Genomic DNA, 14,501 nt, shown 5'->3' on the forward strand with positions numbered 1-14,501 from the left:
AAGCTGCATTTTTATAAGAAAAAAAAAATTCAGGCTGGAACAGCCCTCATATTATATACACCTGCTAGTTCTTCCTGGCCGTCAGCACCTGGGATTTGGCCTGTGCATTGCTAAGAGCTGGGGCTGGCTCCTATGGGGAAGTAGTATTTCAACTTGGATGCAAAGCAGAAAGGAACTGAACACAAGGATTCTTAAATTAGATTATGGGCAATTTAGATTGTTGCCTGAGTTGAAGTGGCCTTTGGCCAGCCATGGGGCCCTGATGCCATGAGTCACACTTGCCCTGGAGAGGGCCAGGGAACTCCAAGCTGATGATGCCCTTGTTGTAGCAAAGCCACATCATAACCTATGCAATCAAGCTTGAAAACGAAGGAATTTTATGTTGTCTTTCTCATCTGACCTCAAATCCCAGAGGGGGATTCCTTTTGCTGAGTTTTTGATTAAAATGCTCATGGGTCCTGTTCCTTTTCCCTTTAGAAGAGATTAATTGCTCATTTTCCTGACTCCAGGTCAAGAGACTGCTCTCCTCCCCAAGCTAGGGGAACCTTCTGGGACTCCATCAACTGACAATGAGGGGATAATGGTCCCTCACTGCCCCATCAGGAAAGGCTCATGGGTGATTGGGACCTTTGCTTGAAACCCAACTTACTGGCCAGGAACCTCAAGTTCTGGGACCAGGCGCCTTCCTCCCTCCCACTGTGCCAGAGGAGGGGAGACAAAATCCCTCAATGGCTGTCTAGCTCCAGGCAGATCAGCTGCCACGGGGACTGCTGAGCAGGTGGGAATTGGACTGTACCATTGAAATAGCTTGGGGTGTCGGTGGGCCGCCCCCGGGCCAGCACCATGTTCCAGCTGGAGCTTCGAGCCTCGGCCTGGCTGCTCCAGGAGTGTACGCCTGAGCTCAGGGTGTCCCGCGAGCTTTGAGAGGCCTTTGATGGGTTCTGAAACAACAGGATTGGGTACGGGCTCAGGGCCCTGGGCTCCAGGATCCATCTCCGGCTTGGGTCTCATTTGGGGAAAAGGGGCACTGCTCATGCCCTCAGCTGGAGGAGGGTAAGGGTTGCCTCCATGGGGGACGAAGGCCTGCCTCCCCATTATCTCTGGTGGCAAAACACATTCCCTAATCCCAGAAGGGTAGATTCCCATGGTTTCTCTGACTCTGAACCATGACCACCTCCCCCAACCTAGTGAGGACCCCCACCAGAAGGAAGGGGTGACCCCCATCACCCTCCCTTTACCCACTACTTGCACAGTGTCCATTCACTAGCTGGACGCAAAGCTACTTGCTCTGTGCCAGGGCCGGGAAAACCACACCCCTGGAGCCATGGCTCCGGGGCCACAACCGACTCACCTTCTCACTGTCATCCGACAGGGAGAGGCTGTCGATGCTGAGGCACGAGAGAATTTGCTCCTGCTCCTCCAGAGAAAATGGCTGGGACAGGCTGTTGAGGAATAATTCTGCAGGGAAAAGTGGAAGATGGCTGTGAAAGACTGGGAGGAGGCTGGCTGTGTTTTCAGGGGTTCTTCCTGCACAGTCGGTAGAAGCTGAGCTGCTGGGGAAGGGGCTGGAAGAAAGCCCACACCGCAGGTAAAGAGAAACACCGGCCTCCGCGGGTGGCCCAGGGCCAGTGCTCAGGGCCCCACTGCAGCCACGGCTGCCCGTACCTATTTCCAGCTGCTGCAGTTCCTGCTCCGGGACGGTTGCTTTCCGCTCTGGTGAGCTGGGGTTTCTGGCAGGGGCTGGCTCCAGGGAGGACAGAGGTAAGGGTTCCCACATCCCAGACTCCTCCTTGCTCAAAGTCAAGGGAGGAGACTTGTTTGGCTCTGGGGGCTCTGGTGGGAGAGGAGGCTGGAGCTTAGGGGCTCTGCCTGTTGTCTCCTCAGCTGGCCGGGGCCCTGGGGCCCTTGGCGAAAGCTCTCTCGGCTGGGCATGGAGGGTCTGGTGGTAATTGGCTTGATTTGGCGGTGGATGTCTTGGTTCTTTATATTCTCCCCTCCAAGGGCTCTTCAGACCTCCCACTAGAAAACAGAGAGTACAATGGTGAGGGGAAGCGTGCTGTGCACAGACAGCGGTCCAGGCAGGAGCGGCCTCTCCTGAGTGCAGAAGGGCTAGAGGCAAACAAAGGGGAGGACACTGCCCCGGGCCACCATGGGAGGTGGCTCCAGAGGGCAGCATGGTGGTCTCCACAGGAGACTTCCTCAATAAAATGGTCCCAATATGACAGGGATAGGACTGGATTTCTGTCTTTGATTCTGTTTTTCTTCTAGGTATCAGTAGCAAATTCAAAAACTACAGAATCAGCTCCAGAGGACTTTGTTAACAAGAAAGAGAAGATTGAAAACAGCCCTGGGGCTACACCAACTCAAGAGCTCCCAGGCAAAGTGGCATCCTGGACCCACCATCTCTCCTACCCCATCCTCAGTCGGTACTTCCCCAGGCACCGTTTGTTCTGGCATGGGGCTAGTTCAGCCCTGGGACCACCCTCATCCTTATAACTACCAGCTGTCTTTGGTGAGGTGCAAGATCTCTCTGGTTTTCTTTATTTCATTTTCATTCCTATAATCACAGCCTTTTTTGTGCCCATCCCTCAGGTGACATTCTATTATGTTTGATGTGTCATTTTTGATTTGGTTGTGTCCTTGCAAAATGTGCGTTGTTTTATTTATCAATTTATTTTTATTTTTATTTTTTTAAAGAGATGAGGTCTCATCATGTTGCCCAGGCTGGACTCCAACTCCTGGGCTCAAGCGATCCTTCCACCTCAATCTTCTGAGTGGCTGGGACTACAGATGTGCGCCACCATACCTGGCTATTGATCAATTTTTAGTTTACCAAACAGGCATTATGTTCTGGGTCCCATTCTGTGTCGGGTTCTCTTTTCACTCGGCACCATGGCTTTAGGATCCATCCATGCTGCTCTGTGAACGCCGAGTTGCTTTAACTGCTTGGTGCTCCATGAGGCATCCCCTTTTGTGTCTCTGTCCTCCCAGTGAGGGACCCCATCGTACCCTACTCCCCTCCCACAAAGGAAGCTGTAGTGCGCGTCCTCAGGCGTGTCCCCATATGGATCTGCTGGCATTCGTTTGTCAGTGCACCCAGGGGTAGAAGTCCTTGGTCTCAGTCTGCAGACGTCTGCCTGAGTGCAGCCAGGTGCCCCCCCAGAGTGGGTAGCCTTGTCCACATGCCCATCAGCAGCACCTGAGGGGTCCCAACAGCCCTACATCCCACCAACTTTCTGCTTTTTTCCAGTCAAATGGCTCTTGAGTGTTACCTGGCTTTATTTATTTATTTATTTTTTGAGTCGGGTCTCTGTTGCGCAGGCTGGAGTGCAGTGGTGCAATCATGGCTCACTGCAGCCTCGACCTTCCAGGCTCAAACAATCCTCTCACCTCCTGAGTAGCTAGGACTACACGCATGTGCCACCATGCCTGGCTAATTTTTAAATTTTTTTGCAGAGAAAGGGTCTTGCTATGTTGCCCAGGCTGATCTTGAACTCCTGGCCTCAAGCGATCCTCCTGCCCCAGCCTCCCAAAGTGCTGGGATTACAGGTGTGAGCCACTGCTCCCGGCCTGTCTTTATTTTGTATTCTTGGATTCCTAGTGAGTTTGAGCCCCCTCTATACATCATAACCCTTATGATACTAGTAAACATATATTTTATCTTTAACCCCATTTCTGGCACAGAACTCCTAAAAGCCTTACTCTCCAAAATGATCTCTTTCTGTGTACTAATGGATTGACTGAAGGCTGGCAGCCCCTAGGTAGCTTCAAGATGGGGGCTGGTCATCAGAGAGACATAGGCAGGATTAGAGGGTTGGGACTTTCATCCCACCATCCCACGTACTGGGAGGGAAGGGGGCTAAAGGTTAAGCGGTTCGCCAATGGCCAGTGATTTATTCAATCATGCCTACGTAATGAAGCCTACACAAAAACCCAAGAAGACCGGGTTCAGAGAACTTCTGGTAGCTGGGCACATGGAGGTTCCTGGAGGGTGCCAAGCCCTGGAAGCTCTGTGCTCCCTCCCACATGCCTTGCCCTATGCATCTCTTCATTTGTATCCTTTGTAATATCCTTTCTAATAAACTGGTAAATGTAAGGAAGTGTTTCTCTGAGTTCTGTGAGCCACTCCAGCAAATTAATCAATCCCAAGGAGGGGGTCATGGGGTCCCTGACTTATAGCCAGTTGGTCAGAAGCACAGGTAAACACGTGGGCCTGAGACTGGCATGGCTAGGGGGTGCAGTCTTGGGGATCGAGCCCTCCTGCTGTGGGATCTGATGCTACCTCCAGGTAGATAGTGTTGGAACAGAACTGAATTAGAGGACACCAAGCTAGTGTCTGCTGCAGAACTGATTGCTGGCTTGGTGGGGTGGAAATCCCCACACATGTGGTCACAGGAGTCTTCTGGGTTGATTGTAGTTGAGTGGGAGAATGGAAAAAGCACTTCGAGTTTGCGTGTGAGTTTTCTCTTTCCCATCTCCTGAGCGCTGCCTCTGGGTCCAGGCGTGGCACTGTCGCAATCTCCCAACAACCCTGAGGCTGCTGCACCCCCATAATCCAGAGGGGGAAACTAAGGCTCTGAGGGGTGCCTTGCTCTGGACCTGCGCCCACCTGCCTCCTCTGTCCACCTCTGTCTTCTGCCCCCCGGGTCAGCCAGCGTGGGGCTCTTCCTACCTTGCTGTAGTGCCCGGTTCACCTTCCCTCCCAGCTCCGCTGCAGACACGCGGTGGATGGGCTCTTTCCTCAGCCCCTCTTGGATGGCCTGGGCTGTGAGAGGGGCGCAGGAGGGTGGGATCTCCCTCACAGGCGGAGGCTCGCTGGCAATCTGGGGGGCAAAAGACAACAGGTGAGGCCTGCCTTCCCTCATTTCCTGATACCCGGCTGTTATTGCTCTTTGCGCAACTCCCGCCGGCCCCTGTTCCCGCTGTGCTGGGGTCTACCACAAGGAATGGAGGGGTCTGGGCTACAGTGAGGGCACTTTTCCCAGGAAAGGGACAAATGGAGCCAGTAAAACAGGCCAGAGCCAGGCAGCAAGACGCCCACAGCCTCCAGGCCCGGCCCGTTAGGAGGCAGGTGGATGGGGCCCAGGGTATGGACAGAAGAGAGTTCTCACCTGCCATGAACTTGGTGAGCCTCCGCAGCTGGATCTCCCCTTGTACCCCCAGATTTGGGTGGCAAGTATTTGAATTAGGATCCCACATGGATGACCAGGCCTCCCCTTGCTCCATCTGCCACCGCAGAGCAGCCCCTCCAGCCTGCAGCCTGGGCCCCAGGGCCCTGCAGCTCCCCCTGTTGGCCATGCTGGGTGCCGTCACCGACCTTGAGGCAGAGCGGCCCTCGGAAGAACTGAGTCCAGGGGTGGCAGCCGTTGAGCATGTGCAGCATCATACAGCAGCTGCTCCAGACATCCACCTTGGCGTCGCAGCTCCTGCCCAGCACCACCTCCGGAGCCATGTGGGTCTCTGTGCCAGGGATGTAGTCCCCTGAGAAGGGGGATGAGACATAAAGTTACCTGGAATGCTGATGGGCAGGAGCCTAGGCAATGGCCACCCTGGTTAATCCTCGGGGTATCTTACATTTGTCACTGTTAAAGTACTTTTTATTTTATTATCTTTTTAGTTCTTTGAGATGGAGTCTTGCTCTGTCACCCAGGCTGGAGTACAATGGCGCGATCTTGGCTCACTGCAACCTCCACCTCCCGGGTTCAAGAGATTCTCCTGCCTCAGCCTCCCAAGTAGCTGGAATTACAGGCATGAGCCACCATGCCCAGCTAATTTTTATGTTTTTGTAGAGATGGGGTTTCACCCATGTTGGCCAGGCTGGTCTCGAACTCCTGACCTCAGGTGATCCACCCACCTCGGCCTCCCAAAGTGCTGAGATTACAGGCATGAGCCACTGTGCCCGGACATGTTAAAATACTTTAAATATAGAAATAAAGTCTCCAAGTCAGACTTGTAGGGAGGAGCTAGGCGGGGACTCTGCTGGGAACTTGTACAAAGTAACAGAGCATCCATGATGTGGACTCTGCCCTTTGGACCAAACCCTTAAAGTGTTTTTTAAAAATGGGGCAGGGGCTGGACATTACAAATTAGGTTGTAGAAGGCTAGTAAGTAATACCAGTAAGTAATACTTCTTACTAGTAAGAAATACTAGTAAGTGAAATTTAAAAATTGTAATAGAAAACTTATATGCGTAAAAGACTGAAAGGATAGATGGCAGATGTGAACAGTGGTTTTTTTCCTGGTGATTTGTATTTGTAATTTTTGCTTAGCTCTACTTTCTTCAACAGATATTAGAAAAAAGGGTCAGGCAGTGGCTCATGCCTGTAATCCCAGCACTTTGGGAGACTGAGGTGGGAGGAATGCTTAAATCCAGGAATTTAAGACCAGCCTGGGCAACATACTGAGACCCCATGTATATCTACAAAAAACATAAAAATTGAGCCGGACATGGTGGTACATGCTGTGGTCCCAGCTACTCAGGAGGCTGAGGTGGGAGGATCGCTTGAACCAAGGAGCTTGAGGCTGCAGTGAGCTATGAGTGAGCTACTGCACTCCAGCCTGGGTGACAGAGCAAGACTCTGTCTCTAAAAAATAAAAGTTAAAAAGAATCAGAAAAGATACATTTTTTTTTGTAACAAGAAAAAGCCCACTACAGTTATTTTAAAAGGGCTTAAAACAACACGGGTGGAGGTCAAGTGTCCACATTCAATTTACATCTTCAGAATTGCCAACATAGTCCTTTAACAACACACAATCATATACTTCCAAAGATTCTTTTTCCGTTGGTCAAAATGAAATCATTTTATCCTTAAGGCTATACATGAAAAACGCAGGGCACAAAATTGTGTTATAATGGCCCTAACTAGGCACAGGGAAAACAACAGCCTGGAAGGAGTTATTTAAAATATTCATGATTCGGCCGGGCACGGAGGCTCATGCCTGTAATTCCAGCACTTTGGGAGGCTGAGTGGGGCGGATCACCTAAGGTCTGGAGTTTGAGACTGGCCTGGCCAATATGGCAAAACCCCGTCCCTACTAAAAATACAAAAATTAGCTGGGCATGGTGGAAGGCGCCTGTAATCCCAGCTACTCAGGAGGCTGAGGCAGGAGAATTACTTGAACCCGGGAGGAGGAGGTTGCAGTGAGCTGAGATTGTGCCACTGCACTCCAGCCTGGGTGACAGAGTGAGACTCTGTCTCAATGAAAACAACAAAAAAATTTGTGATTCTCTCTCTGGGTAAGAGACATGGTGAGAATTCTGTTCTCTGCCTCTTTTATATGCTTAACTCTATACTTCACAGTGGGCATGGATTATTTCAATAATCAGAGGAGTTAAAGAAAGATATTTCACTGACTTTAGAGCCCAGGCCCCTTGGTCAGCCTGCCCACTGTGCTTCCAGCCAACCGTGCTCAGAGGCGCAGGAGAGCTGGGGTCACAGGCTGGCAGTGCACTCCCCTGCAAAGGCCAGACAAGAGGTAGGAGCCACGGGGACTCCAAGGCAGAAGGCCTGGGACCTACGGAGAGTCAACCAGCCTTTCCCTTCTCTTCCCTGTGTACAGGAGCATCGACAATGAGCACCTGACATCTATTATCACATTTACGCGTAACAAAGAAACCCCTGATAATCATCCAGGCTGGTTGCGGGGCTTAAACACACAGGTGGACCTAAGTGTTCACACCTCAATTCCCATTCTGGAAAGCATGGAAGGCATTTGGCGAATGAATGCATTGGGGGGCACGGCAGTTGGTGGGGGGCCTTACCTGTGAGCAAGGACTTTCCCAGGCCATCAGGTTGAAGACACACAGCATGGCCAAAGTCACAGAGGGCTGCGTGGCTCCCATCGCTGGACAGGAGCACGTTGTCAGCTGCCAGGCCGCCCCGGGGAGGAAGAGGAACAGGTGAGTCATGCCGGGTCCCAGCCCACCCTGGCTCGGTTTGGCCTGCCCTCCAGTGATGTAATTTTCTGGCTGACCCTACGTGGCAGCTGCTGCTTCTGATTAGTTTCATTAATCGTGGAGGAAGGGAGGAGGGTATCAATTCAGGCTAGAGGTAGGCAGGATCTCTGAGGGCAAAGGGACAGGAGCAGGGTTTACTCGGGAACGCTGCCACTCTGCTCGCCTGCGCCGACCCCATACCAGGGGTCACCAGTGGGTGGGAGCTTGACCTTCGGTTCTCTGTGGCCACCGTCTACCAGAAACTACAGTGCTTGGCTAAGGGGTTGGAGAACATCATTCCCCTTCCTACAGGCACAGTCCTGTCAGCCTGACTCAGGGCCTGCTACTGGGGATGACCAGGCTAGCCCAGAACTGAGAGGAGATCAGACAGGATGGTGTGAGAGAAGAGCCTGCTGGGGATCAGGGCCGTGGGGCCTGGGCCTTACCTTTGACGTCCCCATGCAGAATCCTTCGTGAGTGGAGGTATTCCAGACCCTCCAGGGCCTGGCCCAGGTAGTACAGGGCCCGGTCCTCTGGGAGACAGCCCTGCTCCTTGACCAGCTGGCCCAGGGAGCCACCTAGGAGACCAAAGGCCAGGCTATACATGGGACTTGCCCGAGCCTCCATGCCAGCCAAGGGCAAGAGCACAGGGCAGGCAGTGGAAAGCAGGGTCACAGGGTCAAGAGGTTAACAATGGATAGATCAGTGACCAAGGCCAACTTGGGCAAGACTCAGGGGGGAACTCTTGGCCCTGAATTTGGAGAAAGAGTGGGACCTGGCTCCTTACCTTCCAGCAGCTCCATGAAGATGTTGACCCAAGGCCCTTCTCTCACAGCTCCATACAAAGGGACAATTCTGGGTGAGGTCAATCCTGCACATGCCATCAGCTCCTCTGCCCGAAATACTTCCAGCCGCACCTGCAAGGGCCCAGAGGCAGCTGTTAAGACAGGGTGAGGGGACCAGAGCTGGGTCCCTGGCATCCTGTCAGCACCCTAGTGCTCCACACACAGAGGCTGCTGCTGTTTCCAGTGGTGATGCAGGGGCCTGGGGGGCCTGCTGGACCCTCAGAGGCTAAATTGTGTATCCCGTGCCCTTGGTATCAGGAGCAACTTCTTGTACTTAATTAAAGTTCTGGAGTGCTGCCTGTGTGCAAAAACAGCCACATAAAAACTACATCCGCACCGGGCGCAGTGGCTCATGCCTATAATCCCAGCACTTTGGGAGGCCGAGGCGGGTGGATCACGAGGTCAGGAGATCGAGACCATCCTGGCTAACACAGTGAAACCCCGTCTCTACTAAAAAATACAAAAAAATTAGCTGGGCGTGGCGGCGGGTGCCTGTAGTCCCAGCTACTCGGGAGGCTGAGGCAGGAGAATGGCGTGAACCCAGGAGGCGGAGCTTGCAGTGAGCTGAGATTGCGCCAGTGCACTCCAGCCTGGGCAACAAAGTGAGACTCCGTCTCAAAAAAAAAAAATTAAAAAAACAAAACAAAACACTACATTCCAGCCGGGCGCGGTGGCTCATGGCTGTAATCTCAGCACTTTGGGAGGCTGAGGCGGGTGGATCAAGGAGATCGAGGTCGGGAGATCAAGACCATCTTGGCCAACATGGCGAAACCCTGTCTCTACTAAAAATACAAAAATTAGCTGGGTGTGGTGGCACGTGGCTGTAATCCCAGCTACTTGGGAGGCTGAGGCAGGAGAATCACTTGAACCTGGGAGTCGGAGGTTGCAATGAGCCAAGGTCGCAATAAGCCGAGGTCGCACCACTGCGCTCCAGTCTGGCGACAGAGTGAGACTCCATCTCAAAAAAAAAAAACAAAAAAAAACCCACAAAAAAACAAACAAAAAAACAAAAAACCCCCTACATTCGTCATCCTGGCTGCTGGCACGCTGTCCGCCCTCAAATCTGCCAAACGCAGAACATTTTTTCCTCCAGCTAAATTTCTGGGCAATTTCTAGGATGTGGGACCTTTTGCTTATCAACATCCATGTCTACTCTCAGAAGCTGGGTTTTTGACTTATCTGACTGTCAAGAACCAAGATTTGGACTCCATCGGGTGCATTTTTTTTTCTTTTCTTTTCTTTTTTTTTTTTTTTTTTGAGACAGAGGTCTTGCTCTGTCGCCCAGGCTGGAGTACAGTGACGTGATCTCTATTCATTGCAACCTCTGCCTCCCGGGTTCAAGCAATTCTCCTGCCTCAGCCTCCCGAGTAGCTGGGACTACAAGTGTGCGCCACCAGGCCCAGATAATTTTTGTATTTTTTAGTAGAGACGGGGTTTCACCATGCTGGCCAGGCTGGTCTCAAACTCCTAACCTTGTGATTTGCCTGCGTTGGCCTCCCAAAGTGCTAGGATTACAGGCGTGAGCCACCATGCCCGGCCTCAACACTTTTCTTTCCCGGAGGACTAAAACATCCACATAGACAGAGCAGTGTTTATTCTGTTTGCAGCTGTCTCCCAGCATCTGGGAACTTAAGGAGGCTTCTGAGGAGGCTTCTGGGGAGTGGCCAAGGCCACTCCCACTGCCAAATGGCAGGTCCGGGATCATCCACTCCTTTCTGCAGGGACCAGCAACTTGGTGGGAGGAAATAGGCCTTGGATATAAACATCTTGGGCTTAGATCCTGGCTCCGCCTTTTAAAACAAGGCAGCAGACTTCCCATCCACATATTTCCACATGCAAACAGCAGGGACGGTGGTATCTGCTCCTGGGTAGAGCAAGGATTTGGAAGGATGGTAACTGACACCAGGCCTGGCAACCAGTGGGCACTCAGGAAGTGCTAGCTCCCCAATTCCTCCAGCTCACATCAGAGAAGCTGATACTTAGACTGACTTAGACCTTTTTTTTTTTTGAGACAGAGTCTCGCTGTGTCGCCCAGGCTGGAGTGCAGTGGCGCAATCTCAGCTAATTACAACCTCCGCCTCCTGGGTTCAAGCAATTCTCCTGCCTCAGCCTCCCCAGTAGCTGGGATTACAGGCACCTGCCACTATGCACAGCTAATTTTTCATATTTTTAGTAGAGGCAGGGTTTCACCATGTTGGTCAGGCTGGTCTTAAACTCCTGACCTCAGGTGATCCGCCTACCTTGGCCTCCCAAAGTGCTGGGATTACAGGCGTGAGCCACTGTGCCCGGCCTCTTAGACTTCTTTTTTTTTTTTTTTTTTTTTTTGAGACAGAGTCTCGCTCTGTCACCAGGCTGGAGTGCAGTGGTGTGATATCTCAGCTCACTGCAACCTCCGCCTCCTGGGTTCAAGCGATTCTTGTGCCTCAGCCTCCTGAGTAGCTGGGATTACAGGCACGTGCCACCACATCCAGCTAATTTTTGTATTTTTAGTAGAGACAGAGTTTCACCACGTTGGCCAGGCTGGTCTTGAACTCCTGGCCTCATGATCCGCCCACCTCAGCCTCCCAAAGTGCTGGGATTACAGGCGTGAGCCACTGCGCACGGCCTCTTAGGCTTCTTCTTCTTTTTTTTAATTTTATTTATTATTATACTTTAAGTTTTAGGGTACATGTGCACAATGTGCAGGTTTGTTACATATGTATACATGTGCCATGTTGGTGTGCTGCACCCATTAACTTGTCATTTAGCATTAGGTATATCTCCTAATGCTATTCCTCCCCCCTCCCCGCTTAGTAGACTTGTCCTCCTTCCTAGCTGCTGATGGTTCTCAAGTAAGCCTTGAGTAGCATCGCCAGGGGGCGCTGGCAGTAACAGAACCAGCTTGGAAGCGATCTTCACAGACTTGCTGACTTGGCAAACAGCCCTGACACTGTGGGGTTTTTGGACTTTTGCCTATCAGTGGAAAATGTCGCCCTTCTGGTTCCCTAATATCTGGTTTGGTTAATCACCTCCCATGAACTTTGACTCTGCCAGTGTTTCCAGCTCTAAAAAGCCTCTGAACCTGAGTTGGAACTAATTCAACAACAGGACTTGTTAGCAAATGTCTTCAGCCTAACCACCCCCAAACTGAGCTGAGGCACCCCGGGGCACTGCAGATAACTCAGAAGGGCGCCAAATGGATATCTGACATTTGAGGGAAACGGCCACCGCAGTATCTGCAGGACACCGCGTGAACTACTCGCTCGAGACAGTTCAGCTTCAAAGTACGATCACGCACGTGACATTCCCTTTGATAATGTATCTCTATGAAGCTATGTTTTTGCAGGTCACTGTGATTAAAAGTACTTCAAGGAGAAAATGTGGGATATGAAGGTGGTGGTGTCCTATCTGATTTCAAGGGTTGAGATGTGCAACAAGGCATACATCCCGTTAATAATCTGGCGGTTTGGAAATGGAAGGACCCTTTTTCTTTCAACTTATGTCACGCTTTTCAAATGGCTACTAAGTTGTTAGGATAAAGACTTATTATTCGACCTCACTGCTTCATAAACAGAACTGTTGGGTATTTGTTTTGGCCTGGGTTGCCCTGAAACAATGACTGAGATATTAACAGGGCTGTGATCCAAAAGAGTTGGGGAAACTTGGCTTTAACTTTGCAGAAATCTGTAAGTCCTCTTAGAGTGTCCCGTCCATGCTAAAAATATTTCCAACCACCCAGACCAAAGAGGTGGGAGGAGATACTTCAAAATACAAGGTGCTTTAGAAGTCGGTGCCAGAGGAGAAAGCAGCCCAGCCTTCCAGGCCAAGCTGGCTGCCCGTCTGGCCACCCCTCCTCTCTGAACTTCCGTGTTCCTCATCCGTAAAATGAGGGGGCTGGACTGCGATGAGGATATTCATGAGAACTAAGATCTAATGCCCACTTATCATTTCCCAGGCACCGGTAAAGCCCTTTCTAAGCATTAGTTATTCAGATCTTACAATAGCCTGTAAGCTGGTGGGATCATTATCCCCATTTTATAGATGAAGAAGCTGAAGCCTGGGCAAGTAATTTGCCCAAGGTCACTGGGTATAAGAGATCACAGCAGCGCTTTTACTCGGGCAAGCCTGACTCCAGAGCTGCCAGCTACTCTGCCTCCTGAAGGCCTTTCCATGCTGAACTTTTTTTTTTTTTTTTTGAGACAAGGTCTCCCTTGGTTGGCCAGGCTGGAGTGCAGTGGCACAATCACAGCTCACTGCAGCCTCGACCTTCCCGGGCTCAAGCGATCCTCCCATCTCAGCCTCCCAAGTAGCTGAGACTATAGGTGCCATGCCCAGCTAATTTTTGTAGAGATGGGGTTTCGCCATATTGCCCAGGCTAGTCTTGAACTCCTAGGCTCAAGTGATTCTCCCACCTCGGCCTCCAACATGTTGAGATTACAAGTGTGAGCCACTGTGCCTGGCATCCATGCTAATGTTTTAAAATACACTTAGGACTGAGCATCCCCAGGTGGAAGCACTGTCAGCAATGAGCCTACTGCCTGATACAGAAGCCACTTCCTTCCCCTCAATTGCCTGCACACTGAACACTGGGGATCACTTTTTCCTCCTTGAACTTCCCTCTTGTTTTCTTTGGTATTCTTTTTTTTGAAACGGAGTTTCGCTCTTGTTGCCCGGGCTGGAGTGCAATGGCGTGATCTCGGCTCACCGCAACCTCCGCCTCCTGGGTTCAAGCGATTCTCCTGCTTCAGCCTCCTGAGTAGCTGAGATTACAGGCATGCGCCACCACGCCCGGCTTTTTGTATTTTTAATAGAGATGGGGTTTCTCCATGTTGGTCAGGCTGGTCTCGAACTCCCGACCTCAGGTGATTCACCCGCCTCGGCCTCTCAAAGTGCTGGGATTACAGGCGTGAGCCACCACACCCAGCCTTCTTTGGTATTCTTTTTTTTTTTGAGACGGAGTCTCATTCTGTCGCCCAGGCTGGAGTGCAGTGGCATGATCTTGGCTCACTGCAACCTCTGCCTCCCAGGTTCAAGCGATTCTCCTGCCTCGGCCTCCCGAGTAGCTGGTGGCGCCATCATGCCTGGCTAATTTTTTGGTATTTTTAGTAGATACGGGGTTTCACTGTGTTAGCCAGGATGGTCTCGCTCTCCTGACCTCATGATCTGCCCACCTCGGCCTCCCAAAGTGCTGGGATTACAGACGTGAGCCACCGCACCCAGCCTCTTCTTTGGTATTCTTATCTGTTTTATTCCATCAATAAAAAAAGGCGTAAGAGCAATTCTATAAATTCTTTTGAAGATTCCAGGAATGTAAACTATGTGAAAGGGGCTACCACAGTACTGTGCACAGATGTCCAATGAATATTAGAGGGTCCCGCCTTATTTTCTCACCTCTATCGAGGTATTTTCCTCTGATCCTTGTGCTATTTTCCTTCTAAACACGTGTCCAGGACTGAAGGCTGCTCACCTTTACCCCAATATAAATGTCTATCCCCCATTACAACTCGGGTTCCTTCAGGTCAGGCCTGTGGATTTCACATCTCTGTCCCCAGCCCCTGCACATTGTCTGGCACAGAGCAGGTGTTTGGTGACAGCTGGGTTGACTTGGCCAGGGCCACATTATCCCAGATCAGCAGCAGAGCCAAAGCAAAGCTCCCAGAACTCCACACTTGAGCCAGATGTTCTAAAAGGAGTGATTCTTAACCCTTTTTGGGCTACAGACCCCTATGAGGATCTGGGAA

General features: G+C 51.3%; 1 protein-coding gene and 1 long non-coding RNA gene across 9 annotated transcripts in view, besides 2 other annotated features; one reads left to right on the plus strand and one right to left on the minus strand.

Moving 5' to 3' along the window:
* MAP3K14-AS1 (MAP3K14 antisense RNA 1) overlaps positions 1–2,890 on the plus strand; it is a 20,706-nt gene extending 17,816 nt beyond the window's left edge. For 4 of the 5 annotated variants that reach the window (NR_110325.1, NR_110326.1, NR_024434.2 and 1 more), the window contains 2 exons: positions 1,373–1,588; positions 2,269–2,890. This is a non-coding gene — a long non-coding RNA (MAP3K14 antisense RNA 1). Of the gene's footprint in view, positions 1–509; positions 779–1,372; positions 1,589–2,268 lie in introns of all 5 variants that reach the window. The other variant, NR_024435.2, reaches the window with a different exon arrangement.
* The window catches only part of MAP3K14 (mitogen-activated protein kinase kinase kinase 14), a 53,902-nt gene that overhangs the window by 2,622 nt on the left and 36,779 nt on the right, over positions 1–14,501 (minus strand). For 2 of the 4 annotated variants that reach the window (NM_003954.5, XM_011525441.3), the window contains 8 exons: positions 8,724–8,853; positions 8,383–8,514; positions 7,763–7,867; positions 5,318–5,481; positions 4,673–4,823; positions 1,666–2,019; positions 1,352–1,458; positions 797–941 (listed from right to left, as the gene is read on the minus strand). In NM_003954.5, the coding sequence (NP_003945.2) occupies positions 797–941; positions 1,352–1,458; positions 1,666–2,019; positions 4,673–4,823; positions 5,318–5,481; positions 7,763–7,867; positions 8,383–8,514; positions 8,724–8,853 (1,288 nt within the window). Of the gene's footprint in view, positions 1–796; positions 942–1,351; positions 2,020–4,672; positions 4,824–5,317; positions 5,482–7,762; positions 7,868–8,382; positions 8,515–8,723; positions 8,854–14,501 lie in introns of all 4 variants that reach the window. The other 2 variants (XM_047436997.1, XM_047436998.1) reach the window with 1 other exon arrangement.
* Positions 899–2,098: an enhancer, noted in NCBI's record as "CDK7 strongly-dependent group 2 enhancer chr17:43344006-43345205 (GRCh37/hg19 assembly coordinates)". NCBI's record gives its function as "activates an origin of replication core promoter dependent on BRD2, BRD4, P300/CBP, MED14 and CDK7 cofactors, with strong dependence on CDK7, by STARR-seq in HCT116 cells {active_cell/tissue: HCT116}" and the evidence as "EXISTENCE:reporter gene assay evidence [ECO:0000049][PMID:35650434]".
* Positions 7,253–8,227: an enhancer, noted in NCBI's record as "H3K27ac-H3K4me1 hESC enhancer chr17:43350360-43351334 (GRCh37/hg19 assembly coordinates)". NCBI's record gives its function as "activates a minimal SCP1, AML or CMV promoter by ChIP-STARR-seq in naive H9 embryonic stem cells {active_cell/tissue: H9 hESC(naive)}" and the evidence as "EXISTENCE:reporter gene assay evidence [ECO:0000049][PMID:30033119]".

This window comes from Homo sapiens, chromosome 17 (genome assembly GCF_000001405.40).
Source record: "Homo sapiens chromosome 17, GRCh38.p14 Primary Assembly".
Taxonomy (NCBI): Eukaryota; Metazoa; Chordata; class Mammalia; order Primates; family Hominidae; genus Homo; species Homo sapiens.